The 18,812-nt window shown below is 42.5% G+C and overlaps 1 protein-coding gene across 1 annotated transcript in view, besides 3 other annotated features; it reads left to right on the forward strand.

The window, feature by feature from the left end:
* Positions 4,269 to 4,770: an enhancer, noted in NCBI's record as "H3K4me1 hESC enhancer chr7:21581979-21582480 (GRCh37/hg19 assembly coordinates)". NCBI's record gives its function as "activates a minimal SCP1, AML or CMV promoter by ChIP-STARR-seq in naive H9 embryonic stem cells {active_cell/tissue: H9 hESC(naive)}" and the evidence as "EXISTENCE:reporter gene assay evidence [ECO:0000049][PMID:30033119]".
* Positions 4,819 to 4,868: a silencer, noted in NCBI's record as "silent region_17997". NCBI's record gives its function as "represses an Ori minimal core promoter by ATAC-STARR-seq in GM12878 lymphoblastoid cells {active_cell/tissue: GM12878}" and the evidence as "EXISTENCE:reporter gene assay evidence [ECO:0000049][PMID:35858748]".
* DNAH11 (dynein axonemal heavy chain 11) overlaps positions 4,947 to 18,812 on the forward strand; it is a 358,801-nt gene continuing 344,935 nt past the window's right edge. The window contains exons 1-2 of the mRNA NM_001277115.2: positions 4,947 to 5,504; positions 6,914 to 7,057. Of these exons, the coding sequence (NP_001264044.1) occupies positions 5,154 to 5,504; positions 6,914 to 7,057 (495 nt within the window). The 5' untranslated portion in view covers positions 4,947 to 5,153. The remainder of the gene's footprint in view (positions 5,505 to 6,913; positions 7,058 to 18,812) is intronic.
* Positions 7,103 to 8,069: an enhancer, noted in NCBI's record as "NANOG hESC enhancer chr7:21584813-21585779 (GRCh37/hg19 assembly coordinates)". NCBI's record gives its function as "activates a minimal SCP1, AML or CMV promoter by ChIP-STARR-seq in primed H9 embryonic stem cells {active_cell/tissue: H9 hESC(primed)}" and the evidence as "EXISTENCE:reporter gene assay evidence [ECO:0000049][PMID:30033119]".

The following is an 18,812-nucleotide window of genomic DNA, read 5'->3' on the forward strand; positions in this document are numbered from 1 at the left end:
CAGAGTTCATTTTTATATTTTTACCCACATTCTGATGGCTACTTCTATCATTTCAGCCATCTTAGCCTCAGCCCAGTTCTGAGTCCTTGCTGGAGGAGTGTTGCAGTCATTTGGATGAAAGGGGGTTGTTCGAGTTTTCAGCATTTTTGCATTGATTCTTTCCCATCTTTGCTGGCTTATCTACGTTTGATCTTTCAGGTTGCTGACCTTTGGATGGGGTTTTTGTGGGTTTTGTTGTTGATGATGTTTTCTGTTTGTTTTTCTTTTAGGAGTCCAGCCACTCTTCCGTAGGGCTGCTGTGGTTTGCTGGGGGTCCACTCCAGAACCTAGTTACCTCAACTTTTTCCATACTTAGAGGTACCACCAGCGAAGGCTGCAAAACAGCAAAGATGGCAGCCTGCCCTTTCCTCTGGAAGGTCCATCCCAGATGGGTACTGACCTGTTGCTGGCCCAAACACACCTGTAGGAGGTGGCTGGAGACCCCACTTGGGAAGTCTCACCCAGTCAGGAGGAACAGGATCAGGGGCCCACTTAAAGAAGCAGTCTGGCTGCTTTTTGGTAGAGCAGCTGTGCTGTGTTGGGGATCCCTTCAGCTCCTGATTGGTTTGAGCTCTCCAAGACCCATAGGCTGGCCTGGCTGAGACACACAAACAGCCAAGGTGGTAGCCTGTCCTGCACTCTGGGCAATCCATCCCAGGGTTAAATTAGAACTCTGTCGGCTATAGAACATGGGTGGGGGTGCCAGGAGGCCCCAGTTGGTTGCATCCTTTTTTCTTAGCTGTATATTACTCCATTGTTTGGATGTTAGATAGTTTATTGAACCCATCTCCTATGGCAGGATATTTGGCTTATTTCCAGTGTTTTGCTCTTACCATTAGTGCTATAATGACTAACCTTGTGCGTAGATTTCTAGAATAAAGATGCTGGGTCAAAGGACAAATGCGTAGGATTTTTTCTAGAAATCAGTGAATTCTATGGGGTTATATCATTTTGAATTTCCAGAAGTGATGTATGAAAGTGCCTGTTTCCTCAGCCATGCCAATAATATGATGTCATTCTTAAAACCAGTAAGTGAAAAAATAGTCTTGTACTCTTGTTTGAATTTGTATTTTTCTTTTGTGAGGGAAGTTGAGCATCTTGCTATATGTTTAAGGGACATTTGCATAATTGAACACGGTTCAGCATTTCATGTTGATATACTAGTCAGCAAGTTGGAAAGACAAGAGGAAATGGAGAACTGGGAAATTCTAAGAATATGATACAAGCATTTTATACCTCATTTACTTTCACTTCACATTAGCTACAAAGAAAATTTCCTAGTTTCCCTTTTAGCTAATGTGAAGTGAAAAGTAAATGAGGTATACAGTTTGGGTGGACATGAGTCCCATTAAAACTTGGAACAGGGGTAAATGTCGTATTTCCAAGAGAAGGAAAAGGTGAATGGACACTGGGGACAGTTAGCAGTTTCTGCTACATCATCTTCTTTTAAAAAAATCTAGCTATTATCACAGCCCTATGTGATTTTTGTCTCATATTTCTTCTTTGTCCTCATCTCTTGCTATTCTCCCTCTTACTGGCATTCTTGCTGTTTCTCCAAAAATCAAGCATCCTCTCTTGTGGGTCTACTTGCCCTTCCCTCTGCCTGAAGTGTTCTTCCAGAACGCATGGCTCACTCTCAGAATTCTGCTCAAAAGTAAGCCCTTCCTTAAACACCAATGGTAATTAACATGCTCTCCATACCCAACCTTTTACCCTCCGTTGCTTTTCTTCTTAGAATTGATCATCTGTGTCAATCGAGGAAAATGACAAGTCTCAATCATTTTAGGAGATTTGTTTGCCAAAGTTAAGGACACTCTGGGAGACAAGTCTATGCCTTTCTCCGAAGATAAATTTGAGGGCTCCAAATTTAAAGGGGAAAGGGCGGGATATTGAGAAGCACACAGGTTTTCACATAAACAAAAGGGGGCAGAGGAAGAATGTGAGGAATCGCATTTTACATAAGATAACAAAATGGGGTAGGGGAACAATCAGATATGCATTTGTGTCTGGTGGGTGATTGCACCTGGAAAGACAAGCTATCAATTTGCATTGCTATGGTGAAGTTTTAACAGCTCACCCATAATTTCCCTGTGGGCAAAATATGGGGGAGGCATGTAGCCTTTCATCTTGTAGCCATCTTATTTAGGAACGAAAAGGGAGAGGCAGATTTGCATGACCCAGTTCCCAGCTTGACTTTTCCCATTGGCTAAACGAGTTTAGAGTCCCAAAATTTAATTTCCTGTCACATCTGACATAATAAACATATTATATCTTTGCTTGCCTAGTTTCTCATGTTTCCCCCTCCACAACTAATAATAAATGTGCCAGGCGTTGGCCTGTTTGTGCTTTTAACATATTTAAGCTGAATTATTTCTCCCAACAACTCTATGATGTGGTGTATCATTTACTATTACCATACTATCACTACATAACAAACCTCACCACAACTATGTAGCTTAAAACCAATAATCATTCATTATTTTCATGCATCTGTGGGCTGACTGAGAGTAGATTGATCAAGACTAGCCTTCGCTGGACTTGCCTCTGAGCTACAAAAGTCGGGTCCAGGCTGGTTCCCTGCATTAGCAAGCTAACTAGGGATGTTCTTCTCAAGACAGTGGCAGAGGCACAAGAAGGCAAGCCTCACCATGCAAAGACATTCCAAGCATCTGTTTGCTACTACACTTGATCTTAGCCAAAAGAAGCGATGCCTCTGTTTGTTATGTCTGCCAATATCCTATGGACCAAAGCAAGTCACATGGCCAGCCACAACTTTAATAGCACAAAAAGGTATAAGCATACTCTTTTCATGAAGGTGGGGTTGGGGGAGAGATATTTGCTAAAAAATAGTCTCATCTACCATTTTTTTTTTCCTATTTCTGGTGAGGAAACTCAGGCACCTAGAAAATAGAAATGGAATGCAAATTCAGTTGGTATAGCTCCACTCTATTCAGTAGAAATCTAGCCTGTATCTCCAATATGAGGGTAGAAACTTAATCTGTTTTGTTTTCTGTTATATTTCCCAGCACCTAGAACAGTGCTTGGCACTTAGTAGGCATTCAGTAAAGATTTGTTAGACAAATGAATGAACTCAGCACAGCACATGGCACATAATTGGTACTTGATCAATGTTAGCTATTATTATTGAGAAAAAATACATAAAACTTGGGAACAAGGTAAAGCCATGTTCATTCACTGTCACATTGAAACACTGCTTCACCGGCCAATGAAAGGATTATTAATTATTTAGGGAAAAGTATCTTTTTTGGACTCATTAACTACTACTGATCGAAGTCTCAAACTCTGAAGTTACGTTTTTATTTACAGATTTTTGTTCAATACAGATGTAATTTATTTTGGAAAAACAAATTATTTTTTAAAAAACAAAGGATTATTTTGCCCTGTATGACATTAGTGAGTGTTGTTTTGAACCTAGCAAGCTGACTCATCCTGTCTTCCTCCAATGCTGCTAAATTTCTTTCTCGAACTGTCCTTGGAACTTACATCATTTTGTTGCTTTCCTCATTTATGAGTTAAATCAATCTTTGACATATCTTCATCTTATATTTCGAGTTACATAGTTAACTTTTTGGAAATTGCACTTTAAAGTTAGCATCATTTAAAAAATTTTCCTGCTAGATTTGAAAGTGGTTATTCACTTTCAATTTAATTCAACTATTATTTACAGAATTCCCGGTTTTCTAGGTTACAGGGATGTGAAGCTGGAATATAAGAGGGGAGAGAAGGAACTGGTGATTGCCAGCCTTGTATACCAGCAACTGGGAGCCCCAAAGATTATTATGGACAATATAAAGCAGCCTTGACAGGTTAGAAGTCATTATCAAAGTTTTCCAAGGCCCTGTGTTATTTCAAGATTCTGATCACATAACTGGAAACTTGTCGATGGTTTTCAGGGGCAGTTAATATCCTGCAAAGAAAAAAATTGTTGAAGCCTCATCTTCTGGAAATGTCTGTCAACATTCAGGTATTAAATGGATTATTGTGGGCAACAGTCCTTCAGTAGCCCCCATGGAAGGGGTGGGGATTGAAGACTTTAGTTTGAAATAAACAATTAACAAAGGAGACTTAAAAGTTTAGTTGAGGACTCCTCCTCAAAATTCTGGTTGCTTTAATAATTAGAATTTCCATAAGAGTCTCAACGAAAGCCACTAATGGACCGCAGTGAAATCCTATTTCAGTATCATGAAACTGTTTTTAATCTGAAGCTTTTTCTCTTTGACCTTTTTACTCTTGAATTAAATGATAAATCTATAGATTTTCGGAACATTTTGGAGATCACGAAAGGGCACTGTGCGTTCTCTTACTGGGTGTACTGAAGTTCCAGTAAGTTTCAGGTTGAGGATGGCAATCAGGAGGACTTCGAATACTTAGATCTTGGATTCCCACAACTAGGAAAGTTGAATTGCAGGACTGGCTCTCTTCTGGTAATATTTGGACACCTTGGGAAAGGTGAATAACAGCCTTCAACTTGGGCCCCGAAACTTCTCTGTTACTTATTTTTGTAACTTAGTTCCTTGCCCATAAAACAAAGACTGACCAGTCAGAGACTTGGCTTTCTACGGATTATGTCAACTAGTCAAGGTAAGAGATTAGCACGGACCTTGGCACAAGAGAGCATTGCTTCATCCAGAGCACTTAACCAATGCTGGGATCTCCACCAAGTGTCCAGTAGGCGAAGGAGCCGGAGGGCAGTGGAGCGAGCGCACTGGGGGCTCAGACCCACCCCGGACACGCGGCTTCTCGGCCGTGTTCGGGACCTAGAGCCCGAGGGCCTCTCCCCTCGGCCTTGGCCTTGGCGTATACTGGGCGGTGGCGCGGTGCGCTCACTCCGCCCCCAGCGGGCTGGGGCGGGGACACCGTCCCCCGGGAAACGGGACGCGCTGCTTGTCCCAGGCCTTCGCTTCGGCCTGCGAGGCTACAGCTGTGCGCAGTGGCGCGGCTGCTAAGTAGCAGCAGGTGGGAGACTAGGGTCTGCGCTCGCGGCGACCGCGGAGGAGGGTGGGCGCCTGCGGAGGTGTCCTCGCTCACTTCGGGGGGCCCAGAGTCTCGGGTGAGGAGCCAGCCGGCCTCGCGTTCCCTCGGACGGTTGCCCAATGGCAGCCCAGGTGGCAGCCCGGGAGGCGCGAGACTTCAGAGAAGCCCCGACCCTTCGCCTAACCTCGGGGGCCGGCCTGGAGGCAGTGGGCGCTGTGGAGCTCGAGGAGGAGGAGGAGAACGAGGAGGAGGCGGCGGCCAGGAGAGCGCGGAGTTTCGCCCAAGACGCGCGGGTGCGCTTCCTCGGCGGCCGCCTGGCGATGATGCTGGGGTTCACGGAGGAGAAATGGAGCCAGTATTTGGAAAGCGAGGACAACCGGCAGGTTCTTGGGGAGTTTCTGGAAAGCACCAGCCCGGCTTGCCTTGTGTTTAGCTTCGCCGCCTCGGGGCGCCTTGCGGCTTCCCAGGAGGTAAGAGGCGACGGGCAAGGGGACCTGCCCATCCAACAAAACTACCCAGGGGAGACAGCCCAGTCGCTCCCCTTTGGATTCCCGCGGGGCGCTCACTCGGGCACTTTAACAAACTTGGCTTGAAGTCCCCATCCTGAGGCCCGCAGGACTCCTCCCCACGTGCACCCACTCTGCAGTTCAGCAGCTGCAGGTTAGTTTCCTAAGTCAGCAGTTTGTATCTGACCGAGAATCCCGCGTTGAGCCTGTTCGACCAGGATAACCCAAGAACACCAGCGCTTTCTTTAGCTGCTTGGGTGTTAGGCGCCAGGTGGGCTTTCTGTGCCAAAAAACTTGCGTTTCAGTTGCTCTTGGGTCACTCTGGAGTCACATCCTTTAAAAAATGGGGTGTTTGGCAGAGCGCATGTAACTCGTCACGTATTTTGATTACGTGCCAACAACACTTCACCCCAGGCAAAAACATTAAGTCCTTAAAAAGGAAGGCCCCTGCAATCTCCGCACACATGGGTGTTTACTGAACATTTAGAGGGAACAGTTCCCTCCTTTCTTCTTTTTCTTCCTTTTCTTTTTGAATTTCGATGATTTGTCCACTAAAAGGTTAACGTATCACCTAACGTACAGCACTTGTATTTAGTATTTTTCAAGTATGATGAGTTTGGAGCAAGATTCACAATTTTTAAGTAGCGCAATGCTCAGTTTAACATGTTATGTCGTTTTATCACTAGGTGTGGTCATTGTAATAGTTGGGAAATAGGATCTCAGAGAAGAAAGAGTAATAGGAAGGCTGCCTTATGGTATTGTGAATTTTGAATTCTTTTGTTTTAGGACTCTCCTAATTGTAACTTTAAAAAAAATAAGTTTGTCAGTAGACAAGGCGATAGAACACAACTCTAGTATTACCTAAGTTAAATAGTTATTATAATGTTCAATGGAATGACTCAGTAGTTGTGGAAATGTTAGCATGTTTTGGTTATACGGTTCTATTCTTTGATAGAAATACAAATTAACCTCTTGGGCTTGTCTTTATCTCAGTTTGGCTTATTTCCAAACCAGAGAAGAGTATAAAAAATAACCCTTTAGGATTGAAACATTTCTACATGCCTACGTGCTCCTTATTTGTTTTTAGTTATAAGATTTTTTTTTTGGTGTATAATGAACTGGTATAATTGGCATGCCTTTAAAAGGTGATATTTCCACACCAGTAATGCTGTGAAATTAGCATTATAAAAGAACAAAGAAAACTGTATACTCGCTGCATACTAGGGAAGAGCCGTAGAAGGACCTTGTTTATAGGGCAGGCAAGATGCCAGGTTTTGTTTCTTCTGCTAGCAATACAGCTACAAGTTGGATATAGTAAATCCTGCTTGTTAACAAGAAAACTACTTGAACTAATTATCTTGCTCTTGTTTTAGATTCCAAGAGATGCAAACCATAAACTTGTTTTTATTTCCAAGAAGATTACTGAAAGCATTGGAGTAAATGACTTTTCTCAAGTGGTTTTATTTGGAGAGTTACCTGCGTTGTCTCTTGGACATGTATCTGCTTTCCTTGATGAGGTACTGGTCTGTCTTTAATATTTAAAGCTTTCACTTATCTCCATGACATTTGAAATTATTTAGGACAACTCCGATAATTAAAAAAAGAAGAGCTAGGAGGGGAAGGGAAGGGGATGGGGGTGGTTAAAAAAAAAAAAAAAAAAAAAAGCTTGTAGAAGCCAGGAGTCTCTAGCCAGGTGGATGGAGTCATAACATCTAGACTGTTCCTGAAAGGAGCTCATGCTTACTGATGCTAATATTCAACAGGTGGCAATTGCAGGGATCATTCTCTCCCTTTCTTCCTTCCAACACAATAGAAGCAAATAAAAAGCAACTTGAATAGGTTCTTGCACCTTAGCAGCAGGTTTTAAGCTTCACATTCAGAGTAGAGACAAATTTACACTTTGAAAATGAGTATTATCAGTTCCTTTTTATACTTGTTAGAAACTAACAGTTAAAGACTAAGATTCACTCATGGCAGATAATGGGAAAAGGTGATGAAAGTGTTAGAAATGGTTCTTAAACTTTCTTTTTCTCCTCTTAAAATAGAGAAATAGTCTTCAACCAATGTTACTGACACTTTAATGTGCATAAGAACTGCCTGGGGATTTTGTGAAAGAGGTTGGTTCATTCAGTCTAGAGTGGAGCCCGAGGTTCTGCATTTCTAACCTGTTGCTGATGCTCTTTGTTTGTGGACTAGCTTTGAAGAACAACTGCCAAATAACCAGGTTCCATGGAACTAGAACCTGGCTCTCAAACTTCGCTGAACATTAGGATCACCTGGGGGAACTTGTAACACAATGCCCCAGGTCACACCCATACCAGTTAATTTAGAACGTCCTGAATGGGAGCCAAGTAGCAGCAGTTGTTCAAGATTCCCAGGTGATTCTAATGTACAGTGAGCTTTGGGAGCCACTGGGTTAGATATCTGTCTACAAGGCCAATTTCTAAATCAGACCTCTGTAATCAGTGTAGTCCTGCCAAGGCCGATATTTAAGGTAGGAAAAATGCTGACATATTTATTGCTAGTTATTTACCAGTCTCTCATGATCACACCTCTTCTACTTTTTGAGTCTCTTCTTCTGTCTTTTTGAAGGGAGGTATTTTCCTGCTGGACTAACCAAAGTCTCTCACCCCTAACTCCTGTACCCTGCCTGGGTTTCCCTTCGCTCCTGTTGAATTTAATTGGCTTTAGCTGATTTCAGGGAGGTGCTAGGAAGACAATCTTTTAACTTCAGTACCAGGAACAATTTTTGGTATGCAGCAGGTGCTCAGATTTTAATTGAACTGAATCTGATGACTTTGGTTCAATATGAGAATCTAGACCACTATCAACTGGAACTTGGAGGGGCAGGGCTACACTGTGAAATTCTTGCTCTACTATCTGTGTCTGGCAACAGAAGATACAAGCCTTTTTCAAATTTCTCTACTCTTTCTCTCAGTACCAGGATCTGCTTAATATTCTGAAAAAGGTATGCCTGCTCCTCAACATTATGATGTGTTTCCATACCAGAGTGTATTATATATTTATACTTAGCCAAAGTATATAAAATGTCATATGGTTATTTCTTTATGTATCACGTTGGCCCACATTTCAAAAGAAACAATAATTGTGAATGCTTACCAAGACATAAAGAAAATGTCATTTGGTTCTTCTCAGTCAATATCTGGGCCCCATCCTTGGAAATTCCAATTTAAAAAATCTAGAGGGGCCTGGGCTTCTGTATTTTAAAAGTGTTTCCTCAGTAATTGTATTGAATGGTTTAAGAACTGTCATAAAGAGAAACCCCACAGTTTGAAAAGAGAAACAGAAGGTAAGTAAAGAGATCCACAGCAAAGGCACACTTGCTCTTTTATCTATAGGTGTATATGTCCTTGGTGAACCTTACTTTGGTTCATAGAGAAAGTTTATTTTTCTTACAAATGCAAAAACTACACAAACTGACAACTAAAATAAGACAAAACCTCAAATTAATTGACTTACTTTGTATATATTTAATAAAATTTATTGTAATTAATAAGTACATCCCAGGTCTATTTGTTTTAAACGATATTTCTAGAGATGCTTTAGCTGTTTGAGTTACGAATTGCTTTCCAGAGCATGTGGCTCAGAATTTCGTAGTGTTTTATCCACAGCTCATGACACAGACATTAAGTTTTAAAAGAAGTTGGCTTTGTCATGGAATAATGTGAGAAACACATTTATCCTTCCAAACCCAAAGGATGGACTCGGAGACACGCAGTACAGCAGAAGCAAGACTTTTAATGGCAGTCTTGCAAGATCGGGTGTTTAGTAGGCAGGCACACCCGGGGCAGTTACAGCAGGTAATTTACTTCCTAGCATGTAAGCCCCTCTCCCAGTTCCTCAGTGGTTGAGTACTATGGGGTTACAATATTCCTGGACATTGCCTAAGTTTGCCTGGACATATGCCCCTTATAATGTTATACCCTGGCCCCCTTCCTCACTTAATTTTTGATTTCCCAATAACGAAACTTTCTTCCCTTTTATGGGCTGACTCCTCGTCTACATTCTGTTCCTTTATCATGACTTTCTACATGCATGAGCCATGAGGTTTGTCATATCCTCAGGCTGGCTGCCAGTACTTAGATTTATCATGCCTTGAAAATTGACCGTATAAAATGTTTTCTCACAAGTTCCCTCCTCTTTTCTATTTACTTTCTTTGGTTTTATTTTTATCTAAACCCTTTTGGTTCTTGAATCACTCTAAAAGTTGTTTACTTTTTTCCTTATAGGAGAGCAACTTTAATTTGGTCTCTAATAGTAGCAGATTATTTTGCTAGTAAGTTATGCACATTTGTTTATTAATAGCTATTTTTGTGCTAGTCCCCTTACACAGGAGGAATACGACATCCCATTGCTGTTAAGACTCCTGCCACAATTATGAGAGATGTAAGGATTGAACCTATCATACCTTTTCATTTTTTAAAGCAACCTTCTACCCAACCCATTAATGGGTTATTAATTTCAGCATTTTTTGCTAGTTTGTTGGCTAGGGTTGTTCTTGTAAAGCTTTTGTGATGGTGCCATCTGGGGCGGTATTCTTGGGAATGACAACACTTCCCACCCAGCATAACACATACACCCCCTTTTTCTGCTAGTGTCATGTCTAGTGCAAGCCTGTTTTCTCAGGCTATTTGGCTGGTGGCATTTAACTGGCTAGCCACCCCTTTGAGGGCGTTCTTAGTATAACTGATGAATTTTTGTTGAATATAATAGATATAGTTAATTTAATCCATGTTTGTATTAATAGTTGACCACCAAAAGAGTGCTAACTTAAACCCAGAGCTCTTTGGTTTTGGGCCTTAAATTTATTAGGCATCCCCCTAGGGACACCTACGGAGTTAACATATATATTGGGATTAAAAGAATTTGTCAAATATCTCCAATTTTGGTGGCCATATGTATTTTCGGGTGTCTTAGGAAATGCCAGAGTGAAGGCAATTGGACTAAAGCACAAGTCCTGATCCAACTGGAAGGTAACAGGTTACAGAGGTTCCTTTTCCCACAATACCACCAGACATTAGCCTGGGGCACATGGAAAGCTGGGTAATTGCCATTGCCTGACTCACTCGTGATGTTTAGGAAGTGGATACAAGTTGAGAGTTCTCCTATGGGCTTATTGAACTCTGCCCCCTGCCTAGAGAGGCAAGAGGAGTAGTTCATATTCCCTATGGAGAATGAGGGAATTGCTCTGGGATCTGACCTCCGCAATGTGGGAAAGAGCAATGACAGACTTTTTTTTTTTTTTGAGACGGAGTTTTGCTCTTATTGCCCAGGCTGGAGTGCAATGGCGCAATCTCAGCTCACTGCAACCTCTGCCTCCCCAGTTCAAGCAATTCTCCTACCTCAGCCTCCTGGGTAGCTGGGATTACAGGCACCACTGTGCCTGTCTAATTTTTTGTATTTTTAGTAGAGACAGGGTTTCGCCATGTTGGCCAGGCTGGTCTCGAACTCCTGACCTCAGGTGATACACTCACCTTGGCCTCCCAAAGTCCTGGGAATACAGGCATGAGCCACCGTACCTGGCCAATGACAGACTTTTATAAGTCTTATTTCCCCATGCATCCTTGTCCCGGTATAGAGCCAACACAGTGCATTTCTTTAGGATTGGTATTCCATCCTAGAGGAAACAGAACCACCTGTGCCTGAAGTTGTTCCACAGCACATGCATAACACTTACTCTTGTTGAGGGCTTGTACTGAAAATTTGACCCAGGCATTCATATTCCCATACTCTAAGGTTTGCTTTAAATCCTTTACCTTAATTATTTTTACCCTTTTACGGTCATTATTTGGTGAACTAAAGCGTTTATTATGGTTTGGGGTTGGAGTAGTCCCAGGCAAATGGGGGGGTTGAGTTTTTTATTAGTTTGAGAACAAATTGCCCTAGGGGGGTTTTTCCCTGTGGTGTTTGCACCAACCCATATAACCGAGATGCTACTTTTGGTTCTTGGTTTAGAAGAGCTGGATTCTCAATGGTGATGAGTATAGGATTGCGTTTTAAATTCTGGCAGTTACTTGGTGGGGAGCCCTTGGACAGATGTAATTTATTCTTTAAGGGTCTCCAGGCTGGAGTTACCCACCCCATGTTTACTGTCCAACCCTGCAATTGGGTAGTCCACCATATAGTATCCCAGCTGGGGCAGGGTGATATTCTACTATAACCTGTATTTGGTTCAGGGAAAAGATATGTATCCACTTGAGAGAGCTGTTTCTGATTTTCCACATTCCCACAAGGTAAAACCTGGCAGGCATTAAATCTTATAGTTTGGGGTGCTACCGTCTTGGTTACATTAATAAGCAACCTGATTGAGTAGGGGGGAGTCCCCTGCCCGTTTCCATTTTGACCTGCTCTTTGTATAGTAGCCCATCCCAGCCATATTAACTTCCAAAATGGAGCCAGCCCATGTTTTGTTGTTAGATTTTTCTGGGTTAACTTGAAGGGTTCCTTAGGTGACCTGTGCACTTTACATTCGTCTTTTTTTCTCCCTTCCATTTTTTTTTAAACCACTCCCTTGACTTGAGTATAGTGAGTTCACCCCAGTTTAGCTGTTTGCACAGCCAGCTCAGTGGTCGGGAGCACTTGATAGGGACCTTTCCAGCTTAGGTGGAGCTTGTCTTCTTTCCAAGTCTGGCTCAGCACCAAGTTGCCAGGCTGGAAGTAGTGAGCCGTGAACTCAAGAGGTGAAGTTTGAGTCAGAAGTCCTTTTAACCTAAGGGATGACAGGGTGGAGTATATGGCCAGTATATAATGTCTTAAGAATTGATCCTTGGTTTCCATAGTAGGGAGATGTCTAGCTGTGCCCAAATATAGGATCTCATATAATAACTTGTAGAGGGATAATCCCAAGTCTTTTCTTGGGGCTGTTCTAATCCTAAGGAGTGCTACTGGGAGACATTTGGTTCAAGGCATTTTAAAGATTAGTTTGGTGATATACTTTTGGAGAGTTTGATTCATTCTTTCTACCTTTCCAGAGGAAGGGGGATGCCAAGGGGTGAGATAATCCCATTTAATTTGAAACCTTCCATAATTCCCCTTAACACCCTTGAGGTAAAGTGGCTCCCATTGTCAGGATTAATATTTTCCATGAGGCCAAATCTAGGTACAACCTGTTTTAATATTATTTTGACCACATTCCCAGTGGTGGCTATGGAAGGGGAAAGGCTTCCACCCAGCCAGAAAGGTGATTTACGATTATCAGTAAATTCTTTAGTCTTTCTACTTTGGGCATTTCTGTGAAATCTGCTTGAATGCTTTCAAATAATCTTAGTCCTGGAGGTCTTTCTCCCATGGCCTGTTTTATAATCACCTTTTTGTTTGTCTTTTGACAAGTTACACAACTTCCACATACTTATTTAGTGAGGGTATAAATCCCTATACACACCCATAATTCCTAAGTATTGCATCACACAGAGCCTGGGGTCCCCGAAGACTCCCTTTGTATAATATAGATATTAGTTTTCTCATGGAGTTTACTTATTTCTCTCCCATCAAGAAGTACCCATTTGCCATCTTCAGTTTGACCCCTATCCTGTCTAATTCTTCCTTCTTCTCTCTGGTAAACTAGGGCCTTAATACTACCTTAGGGACGTCTGGGATCAGGCTTGTCTTCTAATTTCCTCGTCCAGGGAGGCTTGCTCAGCAGCGCCATCTGCAAGCTTGTTTCCTGTAGGTTCTATAGTGTTCCCTTTTTGATGACCATTTACATGAGCTATGGTTACCTCTGCTGGAAGCAGGAGGCTTTCTAAAACCTGTTTGACCAGTTCCCCATGTACCAATTCCTTTCCGCTGCTATTTATTAGGCCCCACTCTGTCCAGATTTTTCCAAAAGTGTGTACCACCCCACAGGCATATTTAGAATCAGTATATACAGTGTCTTCTTGGGCTTTAAGGAGCTTTAGGGCCTGGTTAAGACCATATAATTCACAGGTTTGGGCTGACCAGCTATTAGGTAATCTACCTTTCTCACACAAGAAGTGTTTATTCCCATAAATGACAGCATGGCCATTATGTCTCTTGCCATCTATCACATGGGACGACCTATCCACAAATAGCCTTATCCCATCATGTAGTGGAGCTTCCCTAAGGTTTGGTCTAACTTTTCTTTGGTATTCTATGATATCTAAGCAGTTCTGGTCTGATGTCTCTCTTTTTCTCCTCTCCTTTCCATAGGAAACCAGCTGGATTTAGGCAAATATTTGTTGTTATGAGCAAATAATTTTTTTAACTACTATGGCTTCATATTTTAGAGTCTGAGAATCTGTTAACTATCTCCTGGCTTTTGACTTAATATATTCCTGACCCAGTGTGGGTTGCTTACTGTTAGGGCCCCACCAAAGGTTAGCTTTCCACTCTCCTAGCAGCAGGGCTGTGGCAGCACTGCTTGTACACATTCGGGCCACCCCTGAGAGACAGAATCAAGAAGCTTGGAGGCAAAAGCAACAGGTTCCCTCTTCCCTCCCCAGGTTTGAATGAGCACCCCAAGGGCCGCGCCCTGGTCCATTGTCACATACACATGGAATGGTTTCTCTAAAGAAGGGAGGGCCAGGACCAGGGCTGTAATGAAGGCCTGCTTTAGCTGTTTTACTGCCTGAATTTCCTTTGGGACCATTGCAAGGGGTCGGGTTTCTCTTCTAGTAACTTGAGATACAGAATCTTTTTTTGAGCATGAGTTAATTTATTACATACAGTAGCCAGTTAAACCTAAAAATTTTTGGAGTTCTCTCTTTGTCTTAGGCAAAGGCAGACCCACTATTCCCAATATTCTTTCCGGGTTTATTCTTCGCTTCCCTTTACTAATTAGGTGTCCTAAATATTTAACTTCTTTTTCTACAAACTGCAATTTGTTCTTAGAGACTTGCAATCTCCATTCGTCTATGAAATTAAGTAAGCTTATGGTGGTTTCTGATACCTCGGCCCTCTTCTCCCCAGAAATTAAAAGATTATCTGTGTATTATAACAACTGGGTTCCCCTGGAAGGTTGGAATTTCTCCAGGACCTTTTCTAAGATTTGACGAAATACATTTGGGGCTTCCATGAAACCTTGTGGCAGCACAGTCCAGCGGTACCATTATTTTCTCCCAGTTAATAGGATTTTCCTATTTAAAGACAAAGAGGTCTCTGCTCCTGAAGTCTAGGGACATGCCCAGAATACATCTTTTAGATCCACCACACTGAACCACTTATGTTCATAGGGTATCTTACTGAGGAGGGTGTAGGGGTTAGGCACCACAGGGTGGTAGGTCTGGACAAGTTGATACATACCCCTTAGATATTGCACCAATCTGAACGACCCATTAGGCTTTTTGACTGAGAGAATTGGAGTGTTGTACGGGTGACATGCAGGGTTTTAATAGTCCATTTTTCATTAATCCCTTTATTACTAGCTGGTGATATTTTCTCCCTTCAGTATAAATGGGATTTTTTTTTTTTTTTTTTTTTTTTGCAAACTACTTCTCTTGGTTGTTTTAGTTTAATTTGTAAGGGTGTGATTTTTAACCCTCCCCTGTTGCCTTTTCTAACCCAAACAAGGTGATTAATTTTCTTTCCTCCTCCTCTTTTGGGAGGCCCATTATTACTTTTATTTGTCCTTCCTTTATTCCTAATCCTAAACCCAATCCCACAATCATGTTTTGACCCAGGATGTTAGTTTCTGCTTTAGGAACATATAAGAGTGACCAGTTTGTTTTGGTCCCAATCTAATTAACATTTTCTTGAATATCAGAACCTGAAATCCCTCCCCTTTTACCCGACACTATCAATTTTTCCTTAGAGAGTTCTGTACCCCTTGGTTGGTGACTTAGGGAGGAGGGATCCACACCAGTATCAACCAAAAATGTCACTTCTTCTCCCTCGGGTCCCACCTTCAGATTTATTCAGGATTCCTGGTGGGTGGGACCTACTCAGAAGGAACTCCCCCCACAGTCTTCATCAACGGTCATGAGGTGGATCACCATTTCTTTTTTCCATTTAGGGCATTCTTTTTTAAAATGCCCTGGCTTTACATACTTGTAACATCCCCTCATAGTCTTAGGAGCTTTTCCATGTATTTCACCTCTTTCTTTGTGTCGAAATCTGTCATTCGCCTTGTCTCCTTCAAGGAGGATCTTGATCTAACCTTTTTTTGATTACCTCTTCCACAGTGGAACCATGAGTTTCATTTTTATTTATGCTTTTCTTCCTCTCTCCCTACAAAGACCTTCTGAGCCTCCCTTAGTAATTTCTTAATTGGTTTCTCATTCCATCCATTAATCCTTTGTAATTTTTTTTTAATGTCAGGCCAGCTCTTTCTTACAAAGTTAACCTTCAAAAGGCCTTGCCCTACTGGGTCCTCTGGATCTAATCTGGAGTATTTTCTTAACTAGTCTCTGACCCTGTGCAGGAATGCGGAGGAAGTTTCCTCTTTTGGTTTTTGTTGAATCTCCAATGCCTTTGAGACCTTTTGTGTCCCAGTAGTGGACTTTTTGATCCTTTTTATTATTAGTTCCCTGAGGTTCTGCATTTGTGTCTGTTCTCTGGGATTTTTTTTTTTTTTTTTTTTTTAGGGGAAGTCTCACTCTGTTGCGCAAGCTGGAGTGCAGTGGTGCAATCTTGGCTCACTGCAACCTCCACCTCCCAGGTTTAAGTGATTCTCCTGCCGCAGCCTCCTGAGTAGCTGAGATTACAGGTGCGTACCACCATGCCCAGCTAATTTTTGTATTTTTTAGTAGAGATGAGGTTTTGCCATGTTGGCTAGGCTGGTCTTGAGGCCCTGACCTCAGGTGATCTACCCATCTCGGCCTCCCAGCATGCTGGGATTATAGGCATGAGCCCTGCACCTGGCCCCTTGGGATCATTATTATCTCGTTTGGGATTGACATTTGGAAATTTTTGTTCAGCTGGCAAGACGTCTTGCCCAGCAGGTTGTTACCTCTCCCAGATGGTTATGGCCCCTCTCCTAATCATTCCCCTTTCTTTTCCTGTGAAAAGGATACTTGTGATAGATATCATTTCAGCCCAGGTATAAAAACTGGATTCTAGGAATTGGTTCAGCTGGTTTGCTAAACCCAGGGGATGTTTTAGAAGTGGTTTCATTTCCTTCTTGAAATTCCTAACTTCAGTACTTGTAAGAGGAGCATTTACAAAGCCAGTCTCTCCCTGTCTATGGGAGCTTCCCTAAGAGGGAATATGCTAGATGTCTGCTGTGTGGAAGGGATAGGGAAGTTCTCAATATCCCTCTTACACTGTTCTAATTATTTTCTCAAATTTGGATAAGGATTTAAAGGAGCAATTGGTTCGACTCTGCCATGGTCTGCAGGTCTTTCTTCCTCTAACCCTCCTGCTGCCCCTTGATTTTCCTGTCCCCTATTTTGTGAGACACATGGAGGGGGTATGGATGATAGGGGGTCCCAGGGCTTTTCACTGGGCAGGAACTTTTTACTAGGCTTCTTTTCTTCTTTGAAGGGGAACATGGGGGCTAATTCCTTGATCCAGCAGAGAGTGTAGCCCATCTCCTCTTGTGAGGATGGGGTTTTATCATTCACATAGAGAATTAAAGCTTGGTACACCCAATTTTTATCTGAGCCAAACTTAGGCCACAAGACCAAAGGCTTACGAATGGGGTCTTTAGGCTAGATAAACAGCAACGCTTTATCATCTTTTGCCTTTCCTTGTCCCTGATTCAAGGGTTGTCACTCCAAACCTCATTCTTCCCAAAGGACTATCTGGGGGAATGTCAGAGGGAGTCTCTTTGGCTCCCTCTTTCCTTTGGCCCATAGGCCTAGAATTTCTGTCTCCCATTTTTGGTCAGTCTTTGTGTCCAAGCTTTTCCCTGTGTACTCAACCCCCAACTACTGGAGGTTTCTTGCACACCCCAATTGCTTTGCCTGTCTCTGGACATTTCCCTCATGGGAGAACAGAACTATGGATTGGGATTCGAACTCCGCACTTGCTTCATATCTATGTTATATCTCAGTTACACACACTTGACCTCTGAAAATGCCCAACCACCAAGGCAGTACCTATAGTCCAATTTTCCTCCCTTGGCTTGTGCATGACGTTGCCTGGTTGCCATGGTGCCTGCTTTTCTCCCTGTGTTGCCTCCACTGCCTCCTGAATAAGTCTTGGGTTTGTTTATGGCCTCTGCAGGGATCCAGGACGCCTGGATAGAGTGGGCCACTTAAATTTTGTGGGACGTGTTTCTGCTCTCGACTGGAGTCCTTCTCTGCACAGGCACAGAGATCCCAGACGGGCCCCCAAGTTTGTGAGAAACACATTTACCCATCCGAACCCAAAGAATGGACTTGGAGACATGAAGAACAGTGGAAGCAAGACTTTTAATGGCGGTCTTGCAAGATTGGGTGTCTGGTAGGCAGGCACACCCGAGGCAGCTACAGCAGGTCATTTATCTCCTAGCATGCAAGTTCTTCCCCCATTTCCTCATTAGTTGAGTACTATGGGGTTACAATTCTCACAGACGGTGCCTAAGTTTCATTATCCCCCTTATAAGGTTATACCCTGGTCCCTTTCTCTGCTTAAGTTTCGATTTTCCAACAGTGAAACTTTCCTCCCTTTTAGGGGCTGACCCATTCTCTACATTCTGTTCACTTTTTGTGACTTTCTAGGTGCATGAGCTGTGCGATTTGTCACATCTGCAGGCTGGCTGCCAGTATTTAGATTTACTATGCCTCAAAAATGGACCCTTTAAAATGTTTTCTCAGAATAGTAAATAGAGTGAAGTCTGAAACAGTACCCAGTACGTTAGAAATGTTGAATAACTTTAATTTTCTTTGAGCCTGACTTTTAGAAAAAGCTGTTGATATCAAGGATTTAATCTAGAAAACAGTCTCCCAGTAGGTAATGCATGTTCAGCCCAACAAATCTAAACTTTTTTCTTTCCAATTTTTATCTTAGATTCAAGGGGTGCATGTACTGGTTTGTTACCTGGGTAAATTGTGCATCATGGGAGTTTGGTATACAGAGAGTTTGTTACCCAGGTAATCAGCATAGTATCCGATAGGCAGTTCTTTAGTCCTCACCCTCCTTCCACCCTCCACCCTCAAGAAGGCCACAGTGTCTGTTGTTCGTTTCTTTGTGCCCATGTGTACTCAATGTTTAGCTCCTAGTTATTAATATAAGTGAGAACATGCATGGCCAGGTGCGGTGGCTCGCACCTGTAGTCCTACCACTTTGGGAGGCCAATGTGGGCAGATAACTTGAGGCCAGGAGTTTGAAACCAGCCTGACCAACATTGCAAAATCTCGTCTCTACTAAAAT

Source organism: Homo sapiens, chromosome 7, assembly GCF_000001405.40.
Source record: "Homo sapiens chromosome 7, GRCh38.p14 Primary Assembly".
NCBI classification, from domain to species: domain Eukaryota; kingdom Metazoa; phylum Chordata; class Mammalia; order Primates; family Hominidae; genus Homo; species Homo sapiens.